Genomic DNA, 25,686 nt, shown 5'->3' with positions numbered 1-25,686 from the left:
AAAACAAACAAACAAAGAAAAAGATGGCTTGAGAAGATGTGAAGTAACCTCCCATAAACAGCAGGCTTCAAGTCAATGAACACAGAAAATCAAGGAGGTGAAAACCATGTACCCCTGAGAATGAATGAGGTGAAAATAAATTGACCACAAAATCGTATGTTCCCTTTTATACTCAGCCAAATACAGTCACTCTGTTGTGCCTCCTGGCTCTGTCTACCCAAAGAAGATAAGGAGAAAGGGCCCCGAAGCCTTATTCATGAGAAAAGGACAGCAGTAAACACTGGAATGATTGGAGAAAGGAGTGTTATAGGGGTCAAGAGCCTCTGAGAGTCCATCTCCAAGCCATTTTTTTTCCCTTCTGCATTCACATGGATGTTCTGCTCATTCTGAGTCTCTGGTATTGCATGCCACAATGACGAAAGACTGTTTCAGCTCAGAATAGGTTTGCCCCAATAAATAACTGTTTGGGGAGGCTGCTGCCCTTACCTATCTACTGCTTTCAGTAGTAGGGATACGGTCAATAAATCATGAGTACAAGTAACTGGGGAATAAGAACAGGGAAACATTATCCTTAAGAACCCAGGGACAAGCAAGGCATTCTATGTCCCAGGTAGCAATGGCAGTGAGGGTCTGGGAACAGCGCCTTTGGGATCCAAATAAGGAAGGAAAGAGAATGCTTAGTCATGCAGGAAGGAAGAAGAATGCTTAGTCATGCTATCTGGGCTCCTCTAAAGAGGCCCTCCATCATGCAGCATGATTCTGGCATAAAAAGAAGTTCTACAAATAGTTATTGAATTGATGACTAAATTGGGTAAAAATACATCTAAGTGAGTGGAGATACTTTATAGCAACCAGGTAGAGGGGAAATTGAACAAAGGCAGGAGCAGTTGGGGATTGTGTGTGAAAATAATAATGGAGGGGGTCCAGTGCAGCAGCAAAATAGTTATACTAGTGTTTCTCAACCTGGTTGCCCTTAGAATCACCTGAGGAGATTGAAAAATAATAGCCATGATACTTGAACCCCAGCCCAAGAAATTTTTATTCAGCTGGTCTGCTGTGGGGCTCAAGTTCAGGACCTCTGGAGGAGGTAAAAACATGGTTCAAATCAGCTCTTAAAATTGACTTTTCAAGTACAGAGTTTTGACAAGCAGCTGCTAGGGTGTTCAGTGTGATATGAGCATGTTTCTGCTTTTGTCTCTGCCCGCCACTGAAGACCTCCCCTCCACAACCTCATGGCATCCTCTTTATTTACAGGTTAAACATCCTGGAACAGGGTGGAAGTGGTGGCTCACCCTGTAATCCCAGCACTTTGGGAGGCTGAGGTGGGAGGATCGCTTGAGCCCAGGAGTTTAAAACCAGCTTGGGCAACATAGTGAGACTCTGTCTCTACAAAAAAAAAAAAAATTTAATTAGCTGGGTATGGTGGTGGGCATGTATAGTCCCAGCTACTCAGGAGGCTGAGACAGGAGCATCACTTAAGCCCAGGAGTTTGAAGTTACATTGAGTCGTGATTGCACCACTGCACTCCAGCACCTGCCGTACAGAGACCCTGTCTAAACTAATAATAATAATAATAATTCTGGAACAAATCAATGGCTTTCTTATGCCTTCCTTATCTGCGATTCATCAACAGCAATGTCATCCTTCACACTCTGACATGTCCCAGGGAAATTTCTGAACTCCAAAAATGATGATTAAAAAGAAAAAACAAAACTTTTCAGGAAATTGAGTCATGAGCACTTGTCAAAATTTCCTTTCAAATTTGATTCAAAAGAAGAGTCCAGAAACAGACCAATTGAGAGGATTTCTCTCTTGGTAGACACACTTGTAGGGGCAAAGAGAGGTTTTTGGAAAAGAAGACCTGGTTCAAGATCATTAAATTCTTGGCTGACAGTCAATTGAGCGGGTAGAATGCTAATTTCTCAAAGGTAGGCTCTCTAAGCTCATTAAAGTCTATTTTAAAATTGCTTAAGCATTTTATCAGAAATTTTAGTATCTTCCCAGAAGGAAATGGAGACATACATCATGAGAAAAGTTTTCCCCAGACCAGGTCTGGGACAATTTTTCCTCTAGAGTAAATATCTTGCAGCTCTCAGACAAGAGGGCATTCCCCTTTTAAAGCAAAGGAAATCATTTGGCACTATCCTCTACTCAACCCTAACACCCATAAGCCATGTCTTCAGACTTTGTAGGAAAAAAGATTGTCTGATCCAAGATTTCTATACCTGACAACAAATTTTTCATATGTGAGGGCAAACTAAAAATATTTTTGTTCTGCAGGGATTCTAAATGTATTCCACTTTATTCTCTTTCTGTAAAACTCACTCAAGGAAGTACTCTAACAAAACAAAAATTAAATTGAAACAAAATTCCTAGAAAGAGGGAAGCAACCTGTAAAATAATTACAATGAAAAATTAAGTAAAATTTAGAGTTAAATAGGTGATGAAATATTTTTGTAAAATATAAAATAAGACTCCTTAAAATAGAAACTGTTGTAAACAAACAACAGTAAAAAACAGCACCATCACCTCCAGTCTCTTCTGTGACATCTGTTCCCTGTCATGTGGCACGAGAGAGTATATACTTGAGAGGCCCATGAGTCTCCTGCCTGGTAGACTGAATTCTTTTTCACTAACTGATCTTGGCTTTTAGCAAAATGCCTCTTCCCTCAAGCAGCACCAAAGGTTGAGATGTTCTAAGCTCACTCCTAAGCATGGCGGTCCTTAGGAATAACCCTGAAAAGACTATGAATAAAGCCAGAGATTATAGGAAGGGTATAAATACAAAAATGCCCCCCTAATCTCAACGCAGAGAGCAATTTTCAACTCCTCCAAAATAGCTTCTACAAAGAGGCCAGAAAAGCAATGCCTAGTACATAGTAGGCAATCCATACATGTTTTTTGAAAGGAATCAATAGAGTTTACCTGGCTGACTTACATTTCCACTGCAGTGACGTAAAAGAATATATTGGTAAGTAGCATACAACCACAGTAAGTAATTGTAACGCTATCTTGTTATGTAATTTCTTAGAAGTCAAATCATAAGATTTGAGGGCAGTAACTTTATTCCTGACTACATGTCTACATGTTTGTGGGCTCCAGAAAGCTGTCATGAAGCCTGCAGACACTCAATGAGCCAAAGGAAGAACGCTTCCCCAGATATTGTGCTGTGGAGGGTCAGGCGTGGCGTTTGATTCATGAGATTGTATTTTCAAATACATTCATTCAGCGGAACAAAGTACAGGTAGCCCCTTGTATCTGTGGGTTGCACATCCATGAATTCAACCAATTACAGATCAAAAATATTCGGGAAAAAATGCGTACTGAACAGGTACAGACGTTTCTGTCATGTCATTACTCTCTAAACAACACAGTATAACATCTATTTATATAGCATTTACATTATATTAGATGTTATAAGTAACTAGAGATGATTTAAAGTATACAGGAGGATGTGAATAGGTTATATGCAAATACCACTCTATTTTACATAAAGGAATTGAACATGCATAAATTTTGGTATTTGCAGGAAGTCCTGGAACCAATCCCCCACAGATACTGAGGGATGACTGTAGTGTGTGTTGTTCAAACACAGTTTACTTAAACACTTATTGAGCCTTTAGGCAGTGCAAGCATAGTGTTGAGTACTTGGTCTCTACATTTTCTGAATTATTGTTATGCCTTCTCATGTGACCATCATGAAATCCTAGGAAGGAAGCATGGATTATTATCACCATTTTACAGAAGAGAGAACTGAGATCCTGTGGGGTCAACTCTCTGGTCCAGAGTTAAACTCTGTAGCACCAGGATTGAAAGGTGGATCTTTCGACATATAGTCCAAGGACCAGAAGGAAAAAACAAAGAATGCAAGATGCAGCTACCCAATGACCTAGAAGAGATGTCCATGAGCACATAAGGTATGTGGACCCACCGCAAAGCCCCAGCCACTCACCATGCAGCCCTCCCAGCATCTGATTCTACTTAGTTCACATATACTATGTGCGAGGTACAATGCCAAGGAGTTTCATGCACATTTTTTCATTTAAACCAATAATCTCTGTGAACCTACGTGGCTATCCTTTCTCTCCCTTGAATGTCTCAAGCTTTTTCCCATCTTTAGACATTTGTTCTCACGTTTCCTTTTGTGCAATGCTCTTCCTCTGGGTCTCAACACTCCCCAGAAAGGCCTCCCTTGAATACCTCATTTCAAAGTTCTCAAATATTTTGACTATTTCTCAGGACTCTTTTTCTATCAAAAAGACAGAGGGATTTTGTTTATATGAGTTATATCCCATCAATATTTCCTTAATAAGAATTAAAACAGAAATTTTAAAAATTTTGTTAATCCACTTAAAATAACAACTTTATTACATGACAACATAAATCACATATTTTTCTGAGAAATGAGTAGATTTGTCCAGAGCAGTTAGTGAGAAGAGTAGCATTGGTTTACAGTTTTGCAACTTTCTTTAATGTCTAGCCTAATAGAAAACAACTCAATTCTCATCAGTATCTCTCTCATCATTCAGTCTGCTGGGATGTATTCTTTTGGTTGAAGTAATATGAAGAAAATTTGATCTTGCGCAGTTATATAATTGGAAAAAGGAGGAGTATGTTAATAGCTTTTTCAGATAGTTGTGTATATTTTTCTTTGATATTATACCAACATTTGATATGTGGGAGTTTCTAAAAGCTTAGTGGCAATGTGGAATCTGAAATTGTATGAATGAACGTTTCTACTCTATTACACTAAAATCCACTGGCACACATGCACTTAGAATGGATCTTTTTCCCATTTATGATTTTGTAACATTGTGTACTGATCATTTGAAAAATAGAAGTTGACTGAGCTATGGAGATCTCTCAAATGTTGACACATTGTATTACACAAAGTTTAAAAAATCATGTTCATTAATATCAACATTGATCTCATCAGAAAAGTATTTAAGCACTGAGATTCTGTCAAGTTCAAGGTGGAAGATATAAGATTTCTAAAATTCCAATCTTCACTTGTAAGTTCAAACTTCATTACTGGCAACAAATACTTTCAGTTTTTTTTTTTTTTTTTTTTTTTTTTTTTGAGAAAATGTCTACCAGTTATCCAAGTCAGAATAACAATAATTTTTCTGTCAATCATCTTTTAAGTAAAAGTGGTATTCCATGATATAAGCAGCTAGTTTAGCTAGCAACTCAAACAACTGCACAAATGCTTTTCCTCAAGATAACTATAGTATTCTGGTATGTAGCAGAAATACTACATGCATACTTCCCATTTTCCTCCAGAATGTTTTTTAAATGTGTATTCAAGGGTTGAGATTTAATAAAATTTAAACACTTCAGTATTTCATCAAGAAAACTCATAAATGAAAGTGGCATATTATTTGTTTGTTTTTAAGAACGTATGGTGGTAAAAGGTACAATCACTACTAGTACAGTTTGGTGGTATTGCTTCACTCTTGCTGAGGTGCAAGCAGTTTTACCCATTATGACTTTTATTTCATCAGTGCAAATGTAAATACAATGAAAAAAGGAGGCCAGGCATGGTGGCTTATGCCTGTAATCACAGCATTTTGGGAGGCTGAGGCAGGAGGATTGCTTGAGCCCAGCAATTTGAGACCAGCACTAGCAACACAGTAAGACTCTGTCTCTACAAAAAATTAATAAATAAATTTGCTGGGCATGGTGGCATGCACTTGCAGTCCCAGCTACTCAGGAGGCTGAGATGAGAGAACTGCTTGAGCCTAGGAGGTCGAGGCTGCAGTGAGCCATGATCGTGCCACTGCACTCCAGCCTGGGCAACAGAGCAAAACTCTGTCTCAAAAAAAAGGAAAGGAAAGGGAGGGGAGAGGATGAGAGGGGAAGGGAGGGGAAGGAAGGGGAAGGGAAGGCAGGGGAAGGGAACAGGAGGGGAATGGAGGGAAGGGGAGGGGAGGGGAAGGGAGGGGAAGGAAGGAGAAGGGAGAGGAAGGGAGGGGAAGGGAGGGGAAGGGAGGGGAAGGGAGGGGTAGGGAGAGGAAGGGAAGGGGAGGGAAGAGGAGGGGAGGGGAGATAAAGGTAGGGGATGGGAGGGGAAGGGGAGGGGAGGGGAGGGGAGATGAAGGAAGAGGATAAGAGGGGAAGGGGAGGGGAGGGGAAGGGAGGGGAGGGGAAGGGAAGGGGAGGGGAAGGGAGGGGAGGGGAACGGATGGGAGGGGAAGGTAGGGAACGAAAGGGAAGGGGAGGGGAGGGAGGGGAAGGGAGAGGAAGGGAGGGAGAGGGAAGGAGGGGAAGGGAGAGGAAGGGAGGGAGGGAGAGGGAAAGGAAGGAAGGGAGGGGGAGGGAGGGGAAGGGAATGGCAGGGGAGGGGAGGGGAAGGGGAGGAAAACATCTTAGCATTATTATGAAAATTATCTTGACTTTGTGGGCTCCCTGAAAGGGTTTCAACCTCTACCACTACTCCCTACCAAGAGTCTGCAGACCACATTTTGGAAAGTGCTGCTCTTTCTGAAGGGTCACCTGTGATTGCGGCTCACCGTGGTCACTTTCGTCATCGTACTCACCATAATATGTAATTCTCATTGTGTCTCTTACCTAATATCTGTTTTCCCCATTTGAATATAAGTTCCATGTGAGAACTATATCTCCAGGCTTAGTAATTGCCACATTGTAAATTTTTAATTATTTTTGGTTGATCAATGCATTTTTCTCATTTTCCGTATAAACAGGCCGACACTAGGGGGGTTAGTGCCTTGTCCCAAGCTCATAGTGAGAGGAAAAGGTAGGACCAAAGTTTGAAACTCAGTCTCCTGCTTACTCTTCTGGACTAGTCTTCAAAAACAGTAAGTTAATTATTAAAAAAAAGCTTCTACAAAATCACATTTTATTCTTAGCTATAATAAAAAGAAGATTTCCATGTCTGCAAGAACTAAAGGATGTCTTGCTGACATTTGTTTGGTCGGCTGGTTTTATTGTGGGAAATAATGCCATCATGCCCAGTTAGAACCCTGGTTTTTAGTGGCAGTGTGCTTCTGCCTATCTATGAGCTTGGAGCAGAGATGTTTGAGAGCGGAGGGCCAGGTGGGAAGGGATCGTTCATAGTCTACAGCGTGGGGGAGGAGTTACATGCCCAGACAGAGACAGTTCAGTCCCAGCTATCCCCTACTGCCCATAGCTCACAATCTCCTGCCCTACCTTCTCTCTAGCCAAAGGGAGTTTGAAATTCAGAGGACCCACTAGAATGCAGCAGCAGTGAGAGGTTACCAACTTCATACCACTCACAGACACGTAAAATGTTAAACTAAGAACCTCATTCAGACACACGCATACCTTCTCTCTCACCTAGCCACTCCCATCCGGGTTCAGTACCCACTCCAACATTCTGAATTTTCCAAAGGCTACATGGACGGAGGCACAAAAGGACCTGAGGTCCTGTGGCTCAGAGTGACCAGGCTTCAACTCACCTACTTTTGTTGTAGGTTGTTTTTTTGTTCTGTTTTGTTTTGTTTTTGTTTTTGAGATGGAGTTTTGTTCTTGTTGCCTAGGCTGGAGTGCAGTGGCACCATCTCAGCTCACCACAACCTCTGCCTCCCAGGTTCAAGTGATTCTGCTTCAGCCTCCCGAGTAGCTGGGATTACAGTTGCCCACCACCACACCCAGCTAACTTTTTTTGTATTTTTGGTAGAGACGGAGTTTTACCATGTTGGCCAGGCTGGTCTCGAACTCCTGACCTCAGGTGATCCGCCCGCCTCAGCCTCCCAAAGTGCTGAGATGACAGCCGTGAGCCAATGTGCCCAGCCTGTTGTTGTTTTAAGAGACAGGCTGGAGTGAAATCCTAGCTCATTGCAGCCTTGAACTCCTGGGCTCAAGTGATCCTCCTCCTCAGCCTCTGGAGTAGCTGGGACTACAGGTGCATCACCATGCCCAGCTACTTTTTACATTTTTTGTAGAGATGGGGTCTTGCTGTGTTGCCCAGGTTGGTCTCAAATTCCTGGCTCAAGCGATCCTCCTGCCTTGGTCTCCCAAAGTGCTGCGTGACCTACTTTAAAAGGCATAACAGGAAGCCAGAGACCCGAGTTCTAATCCTAGTCATGTAGCTATTTTCTCCACCTCAGTCCTCTTACCTGTAAACTGATAGATTATGCACATAAAAGGCCAAGCATCAAATGTTTGTTCCGTTCTAAGATAAGTCATGGAAAGCTCTGCAGCAGAGTGAAATCCCTATGCCATCAGATCTGAATCTGCATTTTAAGAAAACTCCAGCGTATGCTTGGAGTTTTCTCTTTTGCACAACCCCTACCTTTTTCATAAGCTGTCCCTCCTTAACCACCCCGCAGTTCGGCCGCATGCTGTGCAACTGGCCCGGGCGGTAAGCAATCAGAAAGAAACAAGGAATGGGCACCGCGCTCCCCTCTATTTGGAATCACGAGGAGGGCCTGGGGCGGCTAACATGGACCGAGCTGCGGGGAATCACAGGCCCCTGGGCCTCCTGGAGCCTCCTGGATGCAGAGCCCGGTGCCCGCGGGGAGGGCGCAGCGGCTACAGGTGAGGCCTGCCAGGGGCCGCGGTGGTGCCCTTCCGTGTCCACGGGGTTGTGTTCCTGCGCCACTGGCTGCAGGGAAATCTTCAAAGGCATGAGCGGAATGAGCCGAGGCTGCAGCAGTGCATTATCAGCCGGCTCGCTCCCTTTCACGGCCAGGGCCATAATCCCCTCTTTGTGCTCCCTGAGTCATTTATAATTCCTCTCCCTTTCCAGGTCCAAAGACACGCAGGAGACCAGCCTCCTTCACTCGTTAAGTCCTTCTCTGTCATGCACGGGGTAGCTCTGGGCCCCGTGGCAGAGATTCCAGCAAGTTCCTCGACCCACAGCGTCCCAGGCAGCTCTTCCCACACTCTCCAGTCTGGGGGTGGTGGTGCATTCTGATGAGGGGAGGAAGTGGCCCGGCCATAGCCTGGGGCCCGAGAGGGGGCCTCCCAACCCAGCCCTTTCAAGAAAACACTTTGGGGGCCCCTTAAAAGTTAAAGTGGCTCTGCTCAAACAAACCAACAACAACAACAACAAAAAAGGAATCCACACTAAGAGGTCCCAGGGGAAAGGATTAGAATTAGCCCTCTCTTTCAGACTCACTGGCTGCTCAGGATGGCAGGATCCGGTCCAAAATTGCAGGGTTAGGAGGAAAACAGGGCAGCTGGGACTGAATTTTCTACTCCTGGGATGACTATTGTCTCTAATATTCCACAGGATGCCACTGGGTAAAACTTAGAATAAGAAAGGCCTTCAAGAGAGAAGCAGAAAGAAAGATTCCAGCAGGGTGCATGGTGGCTCACGCCTGTAATCCCAACACATTGGGAGGCCTAGGTGGGTGCCTCACTTGAGGTCAGGAGTTCGAGACCAGCCTGGCCAACATGGCAAAACCCCGTCTCTACTAAAAGTATAAAAATCAGCCAGGCGTAGTGGCAGGTGCCTGTAATCCCAGCTACTCTGGAGGCCGAGGCAGGGGAATCGCTGGAACATGGGAGGCAGAGGTTGCAGTGAGCTGAGATCCCACCACTGCACTTCAGCCTGGACAACAGAGCGAGGCCCTGTAAGCAAGCAAGCAAGCAAGATTCAAAGGTGGAGGTTGGCAACCAGTAAGGAAAGAAACGAAGACACAATGATAGCAAACTTTCCTTGAACACCATCTAGATCTAGACGCCAGGCACAGGTAGGGCTCGAATTGCACCACATTCTCTGAGTGTGAGATACATCATGTTATTCCCATTTTGCAGATGAGGACACCAAAGCACAGAGGTATGTGTTAAACGAATTTGGGATTGAATGGAGGAACTCTGCTTAGTACCACTCCTTGTCTGTTTTGCAAAACCTGGCTAGTTGGCAGGCCCTCGGGAATTTAACAGTTTGAGGAAAATTCTAGCTCAGAAGCTTACACAGGCCACGTAATCTCTTTGAGCCCCAGTTTCTTCATCAGGAATGAGAGTGATAATTGTTGACTTTTCAGGTACGTTGTGAAAATCAAATGAGATCATGTGTTTGCATGAACTTTGCAAAGTAGAAAGCATTTAGCAAATATAAAATAATTTCCCATTATCCTAGTCCATCCCTGGAGGGAAGGCCTTAACCATATCTGCTGAGAAGGGCACCCATGTGTACTCATCATCCATCAAAGAAATTTCTACCTCCACCATTTGTTATATAGACATTGGAAAAGCCCCTTTTCCAAGGGGGCCTCCTTCTTTAACAGAATTCCTTCTTCAGTACGTTGAATATACAACTGAATTTCAGTTGCTTCCCACAGGTATTTCCTTATAACTTAGAAGCAAATTAGCAGGCATCATGATGAGTCTATGGTTAATAACATGGTCTAGGGGAAAAAAACAAAAAAACAAAAAAACAAGCCTGGCTTTTTTAAGCCTGGGGACTGAGCTAGGGAAGTCACTGACTATGTCTTTATTTGCTGCTCTGGTCACAGCTCTACAATGATTAGGGTGAGATTTTCTCAGGCCCACCCCTGCCTTTTAAATCCTGTATGAGGGCATATCTGAGAAAATCAGTCAGGAAAGCTTCGTAGAGATGCTTCTGGAAAGAAAAAGGGAGCATGCAAGATTCTGCACATATCTGGCCTGGAAAGGGAGTGAGTCTTCTGCAACATAGTTGAAGGCAAATGCTTCCCTAGAACTCTAGAACTGGCATACGAAGATCTAAGCCCATACAACAGAGTGGAAGAAATGGCTTCCGCAAGGCACACCATGGCATGGGCTCAAGAGTACTTCAGACTTGTGGATATAGCTGTATGCACACAGCAGGAAACCTTTTAATGGATTTATTGGTAAAGTTATTGCCTGTTGCCTATTACATGAGTATCTGTGGCCTATGAAGGGCAAGCCAGGCTGGGTGTGGTAGCTCATGCCTATAATCCCAGCACTTTGGGAGGCGGGCAGATCACCTGAGGTCAGGAGTTTGAGACGAGCCTGGCCAACATGGTGAAACCCCGTCTCTACTAAAAGTACAAAACTTAGCCAGCCATGGTGGTGCACCCCTGTAATCCCAGCTATTCGGGCGGCTGAGGCAGGAGAATCACTGGAACTCAGGAGATGGAAGTTGCAGTGAGCCAAGATCATGCCACTGCACTCCAACCTGGGTGACAGAGCAAGAATTCATCACAAAAAAGAAAAGATGCAAGCCAGAACTCTTTTTTTTTTTTTTTTTTTTTTGAGGCAGAGTTTTGCTCTTGTTGCCCAGGCTAGAGTGCAATGGCACGATCTCGTCTCACTGCAACCTCTGCCTACCAGGTTTAAGTGATTCTCCTGCCTCAACCTCCCGAGTAGCTGGGATTACAGGTGTGTGCCACCATGCCTGGCTAATTTTGTATTTTTAGTAGAGACAGGGTTTCACCATGTTGGTCAGGCTGGTCTCAAACTCCTGACCTCAGGTGATCCGCCCACCTTGGCCTCCCAAAGTGCTGGGATTACAAGTGTGAGCCACCGCACCTGGTCACAAGCCAGAACTCTTATGAAGACCTGAGAGTCAGGAAAAATTTGCATCTTTTTAAAAAGCGGCATGCTTTTTTCTGTATGAAAATTTGAATTCTGAAGTTGAGAATATGTTCCTTAATTTTACAATTTACCATATTTCCCATTTTCCTCTGGTAACCAAGAAACTGAGATCCAAATTTGTCAGTCCATTTTAGCAGAAGTGTAAGATTTTATGATTTTTGGATTGTGGTCCTCCAATCCTATCCATATTTTCCATAGCCTGATTCAATATTTTGTCCGGTACTATATAATATATATAGTAGATACTGTACCCAGACCATCACGGAATGTGGTAAAAATATATATATATATAAAATAAAATAAATGTTTCTAGGACCATCTAAGTGGGACCCTGGGGTTAACAAACATCTAAGAAGAGCTGGCTGGCGCTGGGAGCCTGGCTCTTCCACTTACCCATGAAGGCATTGACTTTATAGGAATTCAATGAGAATTAATGATGCAGCTGCTTCAGAGAACTGTAAGCTACTTTAGAAGCAGAGAACTTCTCAGTAAAGCCCCAAAACCAAAGAAGTTCATATTCTTCTGAATCCTAGTGATGGTCCAGCTCTTGATGAAAGCGGCCTTGCCTCAACCCCTGCCATGCTCTGCTCCTTCCCACCCACCTCAGCCCCGTGGCTCCTGTTGCTTTGTTTTCACAAGGTGGTTTGTTTTTCATATAACTTACAAAATTGTCCCTTGGACTTCTGAATTAAGAATGTCTAGGTGGCGAAGCAAAATCCAAATGATAAGACGCAATAGTACGTATTATTATCATTATTTGGTATATGAAAGAGTCTGCTTGTGTTTCATAATGGAAGACTGGCAAGTAAGGTACTGCTGTCTGAATATTTCCCATTAAGGTGGCAGGAGATGAGACAGCACCAGGGTCAGTGCCACCTGAAGCTAAATTATCACTTAATATACATAGTGAGCAGCTGATGTCCAGAAGTGAGCATCAAGCTCCTTGCTAACATGATGAGCAATGGCCATCTGTCCCCACAAAGCCAGGCAGCGTGACCTTCAGTCCCAGGCATTGCTAGCATCATTCTTTCCCATGATGAAGGACGAGAGAAAGAGCTGCTCTGGTAATTCTCTGTTATTAGCAACAAGAAAAACCAAAGTTCTTGTCCCTGTTTTTATTACATATTTTCTCCTAAAAAAAGAAATAGAGGGAGAATCAAATGGGAACCTGGACAGCAAGTTAAAGCTTAGAGCTGTGTGATTCTATTTCCTTAGAAGGACGACATATGCATACACTTAATATGCAGTCAAAGAGCAAAGCAGTGCACATGCATTATACTGGAAATTCCTTCATGTTTTATTAATTTAAACTACATGAAAATATCTAGCTGGAACAAAAGCCACAGCTCGAAACCTCAGGCCACTGAACCTCTATTGATGAATGGCGAGAGTCACTCTAATCTCTGACTACTGTTGTTGGCATAGAGAAAGTAAACAACAATAGAAGGAGGTGAGAACAAATCACTACAAAGATATAACCTTGCCAGTGAGGGGTTTGTAATCTGGATTGACTCATTAAATTCTTATGTGAGTTGAATGCATTCCCCCATTTGTGTCCTGCATTCTTTTCTGTGTCTGTCATACAAGGGATCGCTAGCATCATCAGAACAAAAAGCGAGGGAAAAGTAAGTGGCTGCTTCTCGGTGGGAATCCAGCATTTGACAGAGAGCAAGATAACCATGTCCAAGATCAACAACACCAGACATTAAAAAATGTTTCTCTAAGCCTGAGCGGTTCTCACAATATCAAGCAAATATGTATGCAGTGTGTTATTTTTGTAAAGAATTCTATTTTTCCATAACCTTTTACTTAGCTCTCAGGATTTTTTTAAGTTTTTTTTTTTTTTTAAAGAAAAATGTAAGTCATTTCCTAAGAACTTGGCTTAATAGACCATTTAAAGAAATAGGAAACATATAATATAGGGGTTGCTTGGTGCATCCGCTTAGCATGTGTTAGATCAGGAGAAAAAAACAATTAGCCATGGCTTAACGGTAAGGATTATTCACTGTTGCCCTCACGAGAGTCTGGAGGGGTGGGTGGGTGCAGGGTAGTTCAGCAGCTCAAGGGTCCCCTCACCGGCCAGACTGTTCCTGTGCCTCTGTTCCACCATGCTCTGTGGATTGGTTTTTCATTCTAATATTTGTCAGCTCAGAGTCCAAAGTTAGCTAACAAAGCTTCCGGTATCGTATTCTCTCACGGGCATCCCCAGCAAGCGAGAACTGGGCAGAGGCAAAAACATTTTGCCCTTGCTGGGCTCCCTTTGGATTCAGGAAGGGAAGCCCTCTGTAGACTTCTCTTTGCATCTTATTGGCTGCACTGGGTCTCATGGCCATACCCAGATCAATCACTTAACACAACGAAAATAAGTTCAGGCCCATCATGATTCACTCCTGGAATAAAATCTTTGCCCAATACCTGCTGGAGGTGGGGGGTGGCGGGGGAAATTATGGGCAAATGGCTATTGCATAGGCACAGAACCCTATCCCGACGTCTATCTCAGTAGGCCAGGTCACCTCCTCCTCATTCTCCAAAACGCTTCCATCCCATGGCGCTTCCTTGAAACTTCTCAAGAATGGCTCATGTAAAGTAGCTGCACACCAGGTGGGATATTATATTTCAAATCTGTTTCCTTTATGTTTCCATATATTTTCCTATTATTTTTCATTCTTCTGTTGGTCTATGTATGTAATTTTGCTTCTGGCAGCATCTGTCTCTTACTCTTTTGTTTGTTTCTGAGCCTTCTCTCCTATCACCTCTCATGTTTGATAATCTTTTACTTGTACATCTACTCATCCTATACTTCTATTTCACTAAAAGTACAGAAATGTAGGTAAGTCTGCTTATGGCTCCTATATTCAGGATTATATTGTTAAAGCTGTGACTTTGGCCTCTGGGATCAGAGCTGCCAAGAGCAAGACAAGTTCCCTGGCCAAGCGCTCTCGAGGGCAACAGAGACTGGGGCCAGAGGCCAGAGCTGAGCACTCACTATGGGGGCTTGCGACTAGGCTGGGAAGCCCAAGAGGGTCCCTTACTCATTTATTGCCCATGAGCAACCGATACACTTAGTTGGGAAACACACACACACACACACACACACATACACACATACAATCTTCTTTGAAAGAAGGGTTCCTATCAGACTGTCCAGTCAATAACAGCTACTTTCCTCCCCTTCCCCAGTGCAGGGCCCAGCTCTGTACCAAAAACAAACCTGACCTGAAGCAGGACAGGCTCAAACAGCTCAGCTCCCACACCCTGGCTCTTAGGGTTTGTCCAATCCCAATAGAACATAATAAGGAAACTGCTGATTTCCTTAAAAAAGAAAAAAAAAAAAGGAAAGAAATCCAAATCTGCCTAGGTTAACAAAGAAGGGAGGTTCTCCCTGTAGGAAGAGGCAGCAGGATTTGGAAGCCCAGGTTATTGTTCTCTGCGAAGGCTCACTAATTATCAACCGCCCCACAGCCAAGGCTGGCCTTGCCGGGGCAGGTTGGCAGAGGGGCTGCATTCCCTCCCCGTGTGCCCATGTCACCTGCTTTTTGACCTCCTGGGTTACAGCTAAGGCGAGGTTGCAACACATAAACAAGAATTTTCTAAAGAGACAAGAAGATGGCAGTAAACAGAAACGACTTCAATTTAGCTTCCTGCAAGTCTCCTCAGGGTCTGCCTGCAGCCTGGCTGTAGCTCCCGTATATCAGAAGCCATCTACCACAGAATAACAAAAGGGGGCTCTGTGGAATGCCAAAGGCCAAAAGCAGCTCAAGACACCACAGCAGTGCTCCTCAACCGGGAGCAATTTTGCCCTCCAAGAGGTATTTCACAATGTCTGGAGACATTCTTGGTTGTCACAACCGGAGGTGATACTACTGGAAATTAGTGAGCAGAGGCCAGGGATGTTGCTAAACATCCTGAAATGCACGGGGCAGGCCTCACAGCATGGAATTTTCTGGCCCCAAATGTCAGTAGGGCTGTGTTTGAGAAACGCTGCCCTGGAGGAAGACACTAGTTCACCTTTGTAAGAAAAACAGGGGACTGTGAATCTGATTCTGCTAGCATGAGCCCACCACCGTCACCAACCTGGAGGCTTCTAGGGGAGGAGAAGAAGGGCAAGAAGGACTGTGTATTAGAAAGTCACCAGTAATCACTGCAGCTCACAGGAGAGGAAGGGTGTGGTTGCCCCACACTAAGCCTGAGTAAGAGCAGACTTCAAGAAATCCATACCAGCAGCTTGACACGGGTCCTCTGGAATTTAGGAGAAAGAGGAGCTGGTAACCGGCTCTTCCAGGGTACACATCTAAACACAGGAGTCTGACTAGCATTGGCAGAGCAACCAGAGGAAAGACTTCATAGGGAGGAAGCTACACTTCTACCCACAGCACAAAAGGGCTGGCCTTGGGGTGCCATTAAAAAAAAAAAAAGACTCTACCTACAAGGACCCTCTGGAGGAACAGACATCCCCCTGCACAGGGACAGATTGCTAGGATCCCAGGGGCTGAGCATGACCCACAAACACATAGCCAGAGGAAAAGCATTGCCAGAAACAGATTCCAAGAAGGAATTTTTTAAAGACATGGGGTCTTGCTCTGTTGCCCAGTCTGGAGTGCAGTGGTGCAATCATAGCTCACTGCAGCTTTGACCTCCCAGGCTCAAGCAGTCTTGCCTCAGTCTCCCCAATAGCTGGAGAAAGGATTTCTGAGAAACTCGCAAAGGGACTCAAGGAGAGACAGTCATTTTGGACATCGGTCCCACCCAGAAGGGACCACTGCCAGACGTCAATGGTGTCCCTAACTCCCTGCACCCCACCCAGTGCCTGACCCTGGGGAGCCAAAGCAGCCAGCCAGTGAGCGTGAGATGAGGGAAAGCAAGGAGGGAAAATGAGCCGGCCGTGTTCCTCCCTGGCGGGTTTCTAAGTAGAAAGAAGGCCCAAGCTGCGGAGGAGAGAAGCTGTTGTATGATAAAAATATCACATTTTGAAATTGCACCAGGCTGAACCAGAGACATATGATTGTCAGACTGGACTGGGATTTTGGTTCTCTGAGAATAACGATCCAGGAATGTAAAATGGCACAGCTTCGGTGGAAAACAGTATAGCGGTTTCTCAAAAAGTTAAAAATAGCATTACTATATGATTCAGCAATTCCACTTCTGGGTATACACCCAAAAGAATGGAAAGCAGGGAACTTGAATAAAGACATTTGCACACCCATGTTCACATCAGCAGGGTTCACAATAGCCGAAAGGTGGAAGCAACCCATGTATCCAACGACAGATCAAAGGACAGACAAAATGTGATACAAACCTACAGTGAAATATGATTTGGCCTTAAAAAAGAAGGAAATTCCAACACACACTACAACATGGATGAGTCTTGAGGACGTTATGCTAAGTAGTATAAGCCAGTGACAAAAGGACAAACATTGTATGGTTCCATTTATATGAAGTACATGGTCAAATTCATAGAAACAATGTAGAATGGTGGTTGCCGAGGGTTGGGGGAGGGGAGAATGGACAGCTAGTGGGTCGTGGGTGCAGAGTTTCAGTTTGGGAAGATGGAAAGAGTTCTGAAGACAGGTGGTGGGGACGGCTGTACAATGATGTGAATCTACTTAAAAATGGTTAAAATGGTAAACTTTATGTTACACATATTTTACCACAATTTTTTTAAAAATTGGAAACAAAGAAACAAATAATAACCACCAAGGTTATGTGATCTGACCAAGACTTCTTCCAAAGAGCAAGTTAGAGTGAGGTCATAGAGTAAGTTCAGTGGGATCACTGGGGTGAAAATGAAGTCTGCTTCTACCTGCCTCTTGAGAAGTTCTGACCTGTTTAATAAACTAGTTACTCCTCTTTAATTCTCTGCCATTTGACAACGCCCCAGACTCCAAGCATCTTTTTGCTGCCGGCCCCTCAATCTGTCTTCTGAGCGCTAATTTGTGACCAGGACCTCCATGTCCTTGGATACTTATCACTGGTGGTGTCAAGGAAAGGAAACCACATTTCCAGAGAGGCACACCTTTGCAATGACCCAGCTGGGCTTTTTTCTTTACGTTACGTAAAATTGACTCTTTTTTTTTTTTTTTGGTACGTGGTTCTATGACTTTTAACACATGTAACAGCTTTGCTTTTAAAATCACAATTATACCAGAACCCCTCATAGTTATGGAGTGAGGAATCAGGATTACCTTACAGTGACAAAGAAAAGCCCTGTATCCCAGTCCTATGGCTGAAGTTCCTAATACTTTCTCCCAGGACTTTCAGGCGCAAAACCTTCACCTGCCTTGCCCCTTCTTCTACTCATTCCCCCATTCAGGGCTGCAGCACAGATCAATTGGGTTGTAGGGTGGGCACAATTTTCTGAGGGCTGGAGAGAGCTCCACTCTCTTCCCTCCCACAACAGAAGGCAAACACACTGGAATGCAAGCTCATGAAAGTGACTTTATGTAGGCATAGCCTTGAATCTGTCCTCACACATTTCAACGTTGGTGCTTTGTTATTTGTCATAAATTGTTTAATGGATACGCTACGCAAAAGATATCAACAACCTGATGACTGAGAAGCAATGCCAGCTATTAGAGAGAACTTTGATCTGGTTTCATATCCTAGCTCTACCACTTCCTAGCAGGGCTTTGTCCTTGAAATCTTGGTGCTTCACAGTTTTCATCTGTAAAGTAGGTCTACAGTTTTTACGGGGATTAATAAGATAAAGCACTTCACACAGAATAGGTATTCAATAAATGACAGCCTTCTGTGCACGTAGGTGTGACCTCAAATGGAACCGTGGAATTGCAACAAATAAAACCTCTCTCTACTTTTACTCGGGGTCTTATAGAAAAAAATTAAGAGACTCTTTCTGCTCCCATCACAAGACTAATGTACATGTCACAGTGCTTCCCTGGATTACATGTATCTGTTAGGGTGCTTTCAGTTCCGAGAACAGAAAACACAGCTAAATGTACCTGAAACCATAGAGCAGGTACTATCTCACACAACAAGACTATAGGTGGAACAGTTTTCGGGTTAATCAGTGACTGGACCCATATCTATGCAATTAGGGGCCTGGAGTCTTCCCTGCTTTCTCAGTGCAGTGACTTTTTCTTCAGGATGGTTGCTGCATGGTCCCAGCATGTCTGCAATAGCTCCAAGGACTTTATCCTTATACAATAACACACAGGGGGAGGAAAAGGAGAAGTGTCTCTAATGTGTTCTTTTGAAAAAAAAAAAAAATCTTTTCACAGAAGACCACCAGTCAGCAATTTTCCTTTCATATCTGGTTGACCAGAATTGGGAAATGTATCACATGCCCCTGCTTAACCAATTACTAGCAAGGGGAATGAGGCCAGCTGGAATGGCTTGGACTAATCAAAATTCACCCCAGGAGGGAGGTGGGGCTTCTTCCCTGAGTACTCGGGAGAATGAGTAGAAAAACAATTACCAAAAATAACATCTCTGAGGGCAGGGGCCAAATCTAATGTTGCATTTTTGCTTAACAGAGGGCTGTTTAATAGATGCTCAATAGACGATAATTGACATAGCCATTCAGAGCCTTACAAAAGCAACAGACTGGTATAATAAAAGACTTTAAAAGCGTAGGTATATCCCTGATTACTAATCACAGACAGCAAATGTCTGGTAAGTCCCCCCTACATCCCTTGGTAGTAAAGCATGTCTCCTGGCCTCTCGGAAGGAGTTACTGGTCTAAGGAAAGATGGTATTTCCAATTGATGAAAATCTGTAGTTATTCACTAATTTGGCAAATATTATTGAACAATTATATGTGCTAGATTTGGGGACACATTGTTGAACTTGATACATATGGTCTGCATCCTCAGGAGCTTAAGGGGGTGAAAAAGATATATTAAACAACAAACACTATATTTATGGGCAATTCAGAAGACTTGTAAGTGCTAATGAGGACCAGGATCCAAGAAAGGTCTAGGAATCAGAAAAGGTTTTACTGAGGAGGGGCTATTTAATGTAACAGCAGAAGAGGAAGTTCCCTTCATTCAATTAGAAAAAGTTCCACTGGAAGGTTACATTTAAGGAAATCTTTGCATGCAGGTGTGGAGTTAAATGTTAATGCAGACAGAAGGAATGACTTATTTAAAACATTCAGCAATGAATTAAGAATAAGGAAGAAAAAATAACCAGAGGTGACATGTATTGCCGTAGTGTTTGTCAGAAGACTTGAAGCTTTAATTATGAAACAGAAAATCAAGTTTGAATACCTCCTTAGTTGAGAAAATTTAAAAAATCTCTCCATTCTCATACTTCAACACTTCATATCACTGGCTAGTGACAAGGCTTAAAATAGAAAGGGTCAGTTGCTTTACAGTTCAGTTCTATACAACAACTTTTCCCCCACAAGCATCTCAAAGTCTTTTTTTTTTCTGTCACAGCTGATTACATGGAAAGACTTTATGACTACATATCTTATGATGCAGTTGCAAAATAATTATTTACTTATAAAATAAATATTCAGCCATTAATCTAGTTTTTAAAAATAGGAATTTACCTTTTATGTAAGACTTTGTATGAGATATCTGGCAACTCTCAGAAAAACAGGTCTCTCTCATTATGGTAACTGGATACATTTCAGCAGTGTGTTTGTGTGTGCTTGTCTTGCTGGAGAGGGGCCCTAAATCAAGCTGGCAGGTCCTCAAATACCGTCATTTTATTCAACATCTTTTCAAAATCACATTGTTGAGAAAGGCTGGGTGCGGTGGCTCATGCCTGTAATCCCAGCACTTTGGGAGGCCGAGGTGCGGGGGATTGCTTGAGGCTGGGAGTTTGAGACCAGCCTGGCCAACATGGCAAAACCCCGTCTCTACTAAAAATACAAAAATTAGCTAGGTGTGGTGACACCACCTGTAATCCAGCTACTGGGGAGGCCGAGGCATGAGAATCACTTGAGCCCCTGAGGTGGAGGTTGCAGTGAGCCGAGATCACACCACTGCACTCCAGCCTGGGCGACAGAGTAAGACTCTGCCTCAAAAAAACACTGATGAGAAAAAAGAATCACTTCCCCACCAGGGCCGCCGTCTGTGTGAGTTTGCATATTCTTCCCATGTCTATATGAGTCTTCTCCAGGTACTCGGTTTTCTCCCACATCCCAAAGATTGCGTGCATGTTAGATAAATTGGTGTATCTACAATATCCCAGTGTGAGTGTGGCTGTGTGTGTGAGTGCACCCTGCAATGGGATGGCATCCCATCCAGGGTCCAGGGAGGGTTCCCAGCTGCTGCCCTGAACAACCAAGAGGGACTCTGGCCACCCTCAATCCTGAACTGGAATAATCAGGTAAATAATTCTTACTTGTTTTTATTAATCTTTCTTAAGTGTGTCTATAGCTCACATTTATTTCAATATTTAATATTAGAAGGGCGTTGAGTCTTTATTTAGAATTTTGGTAATGTTTTTGTGACCACAAATATGCCATAAGAACTTGCTTGTTTATATCATTTAGCCTATGGTAAATATTTTTGTTATACTTCGTTTCACTTAAAGTTGCAGTTTCCAAGAGCTATCGACCACGTTCAGACTTAACTGTACTGTAACGTGTGTTTTTTCTCCATTGATTCCTACTAGGGTAATAAAATTGTCAACCTAAGGGAACAAATAAATTCTAGAAGTAAAGGCTTTCTACACAGTTGTTGCAGGAATACCAACCATAGGCTCTGGAGACGAATGGTTTAACAACTCACCATTGGCCAAATAAGGTCTCACCCCTGCTGTATTTGCACATGCTGTTCCATTAGCCCTAAACCATTCCTCTCACACCACTGTCGCTCATGCTTTCAATGGGACCAAAGGCTCAGCTGACCACCATAGAGTCAGCGAAGTCGCTTGTTAAATACAGGTTCCCTGCCCTACCTTCGAAGATTCTATTATAACTCGGTAGAGGAGGGGGGGGGGGGCAGAGAATATGAATTTTTGTCCCCTCCCTAAGTTCCTTCCAAAGCACCAGCAAACTGAGAACCAGCGCTAACACCCTCTCCAAATACCACTTTCTCTGGAAAACTCACCCAATCCTCTCAGCCTCCTCTCTGTTCTCCTAAACATCATATACTTGTAACCTGACTTTGGCACTCAGCACACCCAACCATGTACTTCCCTGCCTTTCCTCATCCTCTCCCTCATGAACCCCTCAAAAGCAGATCCATCCGCTTCCTCTTCCAATTCCAAGCACAAGGCTCAGAATCTTTGAACCCTTCACACATGGTTGTGGACTGAATCAGTAAATAAACAACTTAGGAAAAACACGTTCACTATTTCTTGAAGATAAACAGGTTTAGTTGGGGGCTGGTCCTTTGGAACTCAGGTGTGTCTGTTGGAACCCTCTAATGTTGCTCCTTTCGGGTGGGCTCTGTCTCCAGGAGCAGATCACCTCCCTGCGGCCCCACGGGGATAGCCCTTCTTCTGTGAGCTCTGACTTCAGGCTCCACTCCAGGATGCTTTCGCTTTCCTTTGACTAGGAGTGGAGTTAAAACAGTATTAAACTTTAACAACAGACGTTTAATTGCACAAATTGCAGCCTTGAGAGTCCAGGTTCTGAAAAGCATCGAATTTGAATGAAAGAGAAACATGTGTGATTTGGGGGAGAATTCTGAGTACATTTTAATAGGGTTCTACCAATTAATTTATCTCCTGGCTTCCACAAACACCATAATAAACTTGTCATTTTCTGAGAATTAACTCTTCGATTAGACGTGTCTGGACAATTGCATATTAACAATCTTCTGAACTCGTCGCCATAATGGGAGGACAAAGTGGATGAATGCAGAAAGAAGAAACAAAACAGGGGCCGGCAGCGTTGGGGCGCTCTTCTGCGGCGCGCTACAGCCGCGCTGCTGTGAGGGGACTGAATAAATGGGAGGCAACGCTGCCTCTTCCAAAAAACCGAGAAAGCAACCGGAGGACGTAGCCGCTCAGGAATGCCTGCGTCGTGATGCTTATTGACCGACGCAGAGCTTAAGTCTCGCTGCCTACGCGTTCACAATATAAACAGGAAGGATTAGGGTGACCCCACGTCCCCAAAGACTGAAGCAGTCCGAGGAAAGCTCTGGTTACCTTGCATCCTGAGCAGCCTGCCCCTTGATGACAGATGTCCCAGATTCGGGCATTCTTTTGTGGCTCATGGGAAAGCACGGCTAATCCGTGCGAGCCCGCGCGCTCGCCCCTCGGCTGCATTCAGCTCGCTCGCACAATGCGCTGGCGGAGCTCCCCGGCCTCGGGGGCCCGCGGGACGCCGGCTCCCCCCACCCCCAGCCCCGACCTCGCCGCTGGGCTTGGCGTCACCTCCACGTGCGTGCGCGCCTCGAGGTTCTCGGTGCAGAAGCGGGTGGGCGTGGGCGTGCGGGGAGAGTGAGAAGGAAAAGTGCTGGCTGCATGGAGAAAAGGGAAAAGCAAGACGGATCAGGCTGCTGTTTTTCTTCCCACCTGTTCTTGCTCGCTTCTCTGTTCTACCCAGGCTCTCCCCCACTTTTTAAGCCCTCCCTTCCCCGCCCTTCTCTCCTTTTCCATTCTCTTCGCACTTTTCAATGCACCAGGCTATAACAGCCTTGCAGGGAGTGGCTGAATTGTAAAGACTCTGTGAAGTAGGTACATTTTGCAGATGAGGAAACTGAGGCACACACGAGCCCAGGGGGCACTGGATGTGGAACCAGGCCTCCAGAGCGCGCTTTCTCCACCACTAAGCTGCAAGTTGCTGATGTCCCTAGCAAGGACTTCCCTGTTACCTGCACTGCCACCCTGCCGTAAACACATCTATGTTTCCATCTCAGCGGCCTCATTTAGCGAGAGCAACGAGTTCACACGCCAGTCAAATGGAGAAGACGTGGAAGAGACGGTTTCGTTTATCAGAGCATTTTCCACCAGCAAACCTGGCCCGGGTGGAAGTTCTCTTGCTTCAGTAAGGATGCAGGTTCAATGAGCGCTCTCACCTCCACCAGCTCCACTTTCCCCTCAAGGAACTGAGGAAGAATCCCTACCTCTGAGAAGGGGGTTTAAAAGCCAAGGTGTGAAAAACAGGGATGAAAGAGGGGGTTATTAACAGATGACAAATGATCTCCTTGGTATTCTGGAAAATACCGGAAGTAATATGCTGCATACCTGGGAATAACGTAATAATTCTGAAAACAACAAGGCAGGAAACAAAATCCGGAAAGTTCAGGGAGATTTGTAAAGATTTTAGAGCATGAGTCAGAAAACTGTGTTGAATATGTTGGAGCAGGGAGAGGGGGACGTTTCAATTTCATTACAGATTAAAGAAATGAAACAGCACAGAGATATCAGATTTCACCTATGAAACAGGGAGTGGAGGTAAGATCTAATGATGTAGAATGTGCCATGTCATATATTGCTGGTGGGAGTGCACTTAAGAGATGATTTGGAAATACTTATCAAATGCCTCAAAATATGTGTATTTTTGACCCAATAGTTCTATTTATGGAGTTTTATCCTAAGATCATAATTTACAATATGCCAGATAACTTGGATAGAAGAAGGGTCAATGTGCTGTTCTTAATACCTAAAGAATGGAAACAGATCCACATGCCCATCAATAGGGAACTGTTTAGAAATGTTACAGTAATCCACACAAACGAAAACTGTTGGCGACATATTGGTAACAGAAAGAAAGCAAATTTGCATATCACAGTACCTTTTTTGAAAAAAAAAGTATAAGGAAATATGTCTGGAAGAGCGTGTAAAATGTTAGCTGTGCTTAAAGGCTGTGAATGAGTTTTATGTTGTCCTGTGTTTCCATATTTTCCAATGTATCACCAATGAATACCTATTATATGAGTAATAAAGAAAATTGAAATATTGATTTTTGAGGAAAAAACAAATTTCTCTTTCTCCTTAATAATTGATGAGAGCAGCTTCTGACTCAAAGGCAGGACAAGTCCTCCAAGGAGGCGAGAATACTCATCCTGCTATGTGACTTTCATCATGGAATGAGAATCTTGCCACATGGGTGTCAGGTACCCATGCATAAGCATGTCCTTCAGTCAACAACAGAGAGTCCACGGGTCTTAGGTTCACACTGGGGAATTTAACTGAAAAGTGCTGTTATCCCATGCTTGGCCAATGCCTATCCAAGAGAAGTGATATTCACAGAGGACAGTCCAGGCGGTTTGCTGACCACTTGATCCTGCAGGTGTGCTTAGCACGTCTTTACTGCACAGTGGTAAGATCATTAGCTCTGCACAAACCTCATTCAACGAGCACTCCACAGAAATGCCTTTCCTGGGTTATGCTTTTATGTTTTACCCTTGACTTCCTTCTGGGTTTGAAATGAAGAGACCTTTTCTAATGGGTGCAGCACACCAACATGGCACATGTATACATATGTAACTAGCCTGCACGTTGTGCACATGTACCCTAAAACTTAAAGTATAATAAAAAAAAGACTTCAAAAAAAAAGAAAAAGAAAAACACCTTTTCTATAAATCCCTTGCTGCAGAGGTTTTGAATGTTGTACACTGTCTCTGTGTGTTGACCCTGCTGATAAAATCCCCCCAGAGCAGTGATGTTTAAACCGAGCTCCCAGAAGCTGCTGTGGGGGCTGAGGGACCAAGGTCCTTTTCCACCAGAGGACTCTACCTTTACTTGTTCTATCGCAGATGCCAAATACATGGCAACCACAGAGCTGCTTAGGAAAGACACAATCTGATACCACCTTGATCAGAGCTAGTTTGGGATGCTTTAAAAGAGGGAAAAGAAATTCAACACAGATTTAAGTCACTGCTTCTGGAGGTATGACCTCACTATTGGAAGATTCTAAATGTCACTGAAACAAGCCAAAGATCATTTTTTTAAAAGAAACAACAAAATGGCCAGACGCGGTGGCTCACACCTTTTAATCCCAGCACTTTGGGAGGCCGAGGCGGGTGGATCAGGAGGCCAAGAGATCGAGCCCATCCTGGCTAACACGGTGAAACCCCATCTCCACTAAAAATACAAAAAATTAGCCGGGCGTGGTGGCAGGCGCCTGTAGTCCCAGCTACTCGGGAGGCTGAGGCGGGAGAATGGCGTGAACCCGGGAGGTTGCAGTGAGCTGAGATCGTGCCACTGCACTCCATCCTGGGCGACAGAGCCAGACTCCGTCTCAAAAAACAAAACAAACAAAAAAAGAAACAATCAAATAAGCCAGGCATG

At 44.1% G+C, this 25,686-nt stretch overlaps 1 long non-coding RNA gene across 1 annotated transcript in view, besides 2 other annotated features; it reads right to left on the bottom strand.

The window, feature by feature from the left end:
• LINC02774 (long intergenic non-protein coding RNA 2774) overlaps positions 1 to 22,721 on the bottom strand; it is a 129,916-nt gene extending 107,195 nt beyond the window's left edge. Inside the window, exon 1 of the long non-coding RNA NR_033883.1 lies at positions 22,597 to 22,721. This is a non-coding gene — a long non-coding RNA (long intergenic non-protein coding RNA 2774). The remainder of the gene's footprint in view (positions 1 to 22,596) is intronic.
• Positions 582 to 876: an enhancer, noted in NCBI's record as "tiled region #14056; HepG2 Activating non-DNase unmatched - State 22:ReprW, and K562 Activating DNase unmatched - State 5:Enh". NCBI's record gives its function as "activates a minimal TATA promoter and a strong SV40 promoter by Sharpr-MPRA in HepG2 and K562 cells {active_cell/tissue: HepG2 | K562}" and the evidence as "EXISTENCE:reporter gene assay evidence [ECO:0000049][PMID:27701403]".
• Positions 15,167 to 15,815: an enhancer, noted in NCBI's record as "H3K27ac-H3K4me1 hESC enhancer chr1:244087610-244088258 (GRCh37/hg19 assembly coordinates)". NCBI's record gives its function as "activates a minimal SCP1, AML or CMV promoter by ChIP-STARR-seq in primed H9 embryonic stem cells {active_cell/tissue: H9 hESC(primed)}" and the evidence as "EXISTENCE:reporter gene assay evidence [ECO:0000049][PMID:30033119]".
• Positions 22,722 to 25,686: the final 2,965 nt, after the last annotated feature.

The sequence above is a fragment of the Homo sapiens genome, chromosome 1 (assembly GCF_000001405.40).
Source record: "Homo sapiens chromosome 1, GRCh38.p14 Primary Assembly".
Lineage (NCBI taxonomy): Eukaryota > Metazoa > Chordata > Mammalia > Primates > Hominidae > Homo > Homo sapiens.
The sequence above is the reverse complement of the archived record's forward strand: the minus strand, read 5'-3'. Positions and strand labels throughout refer to the sequence as shown.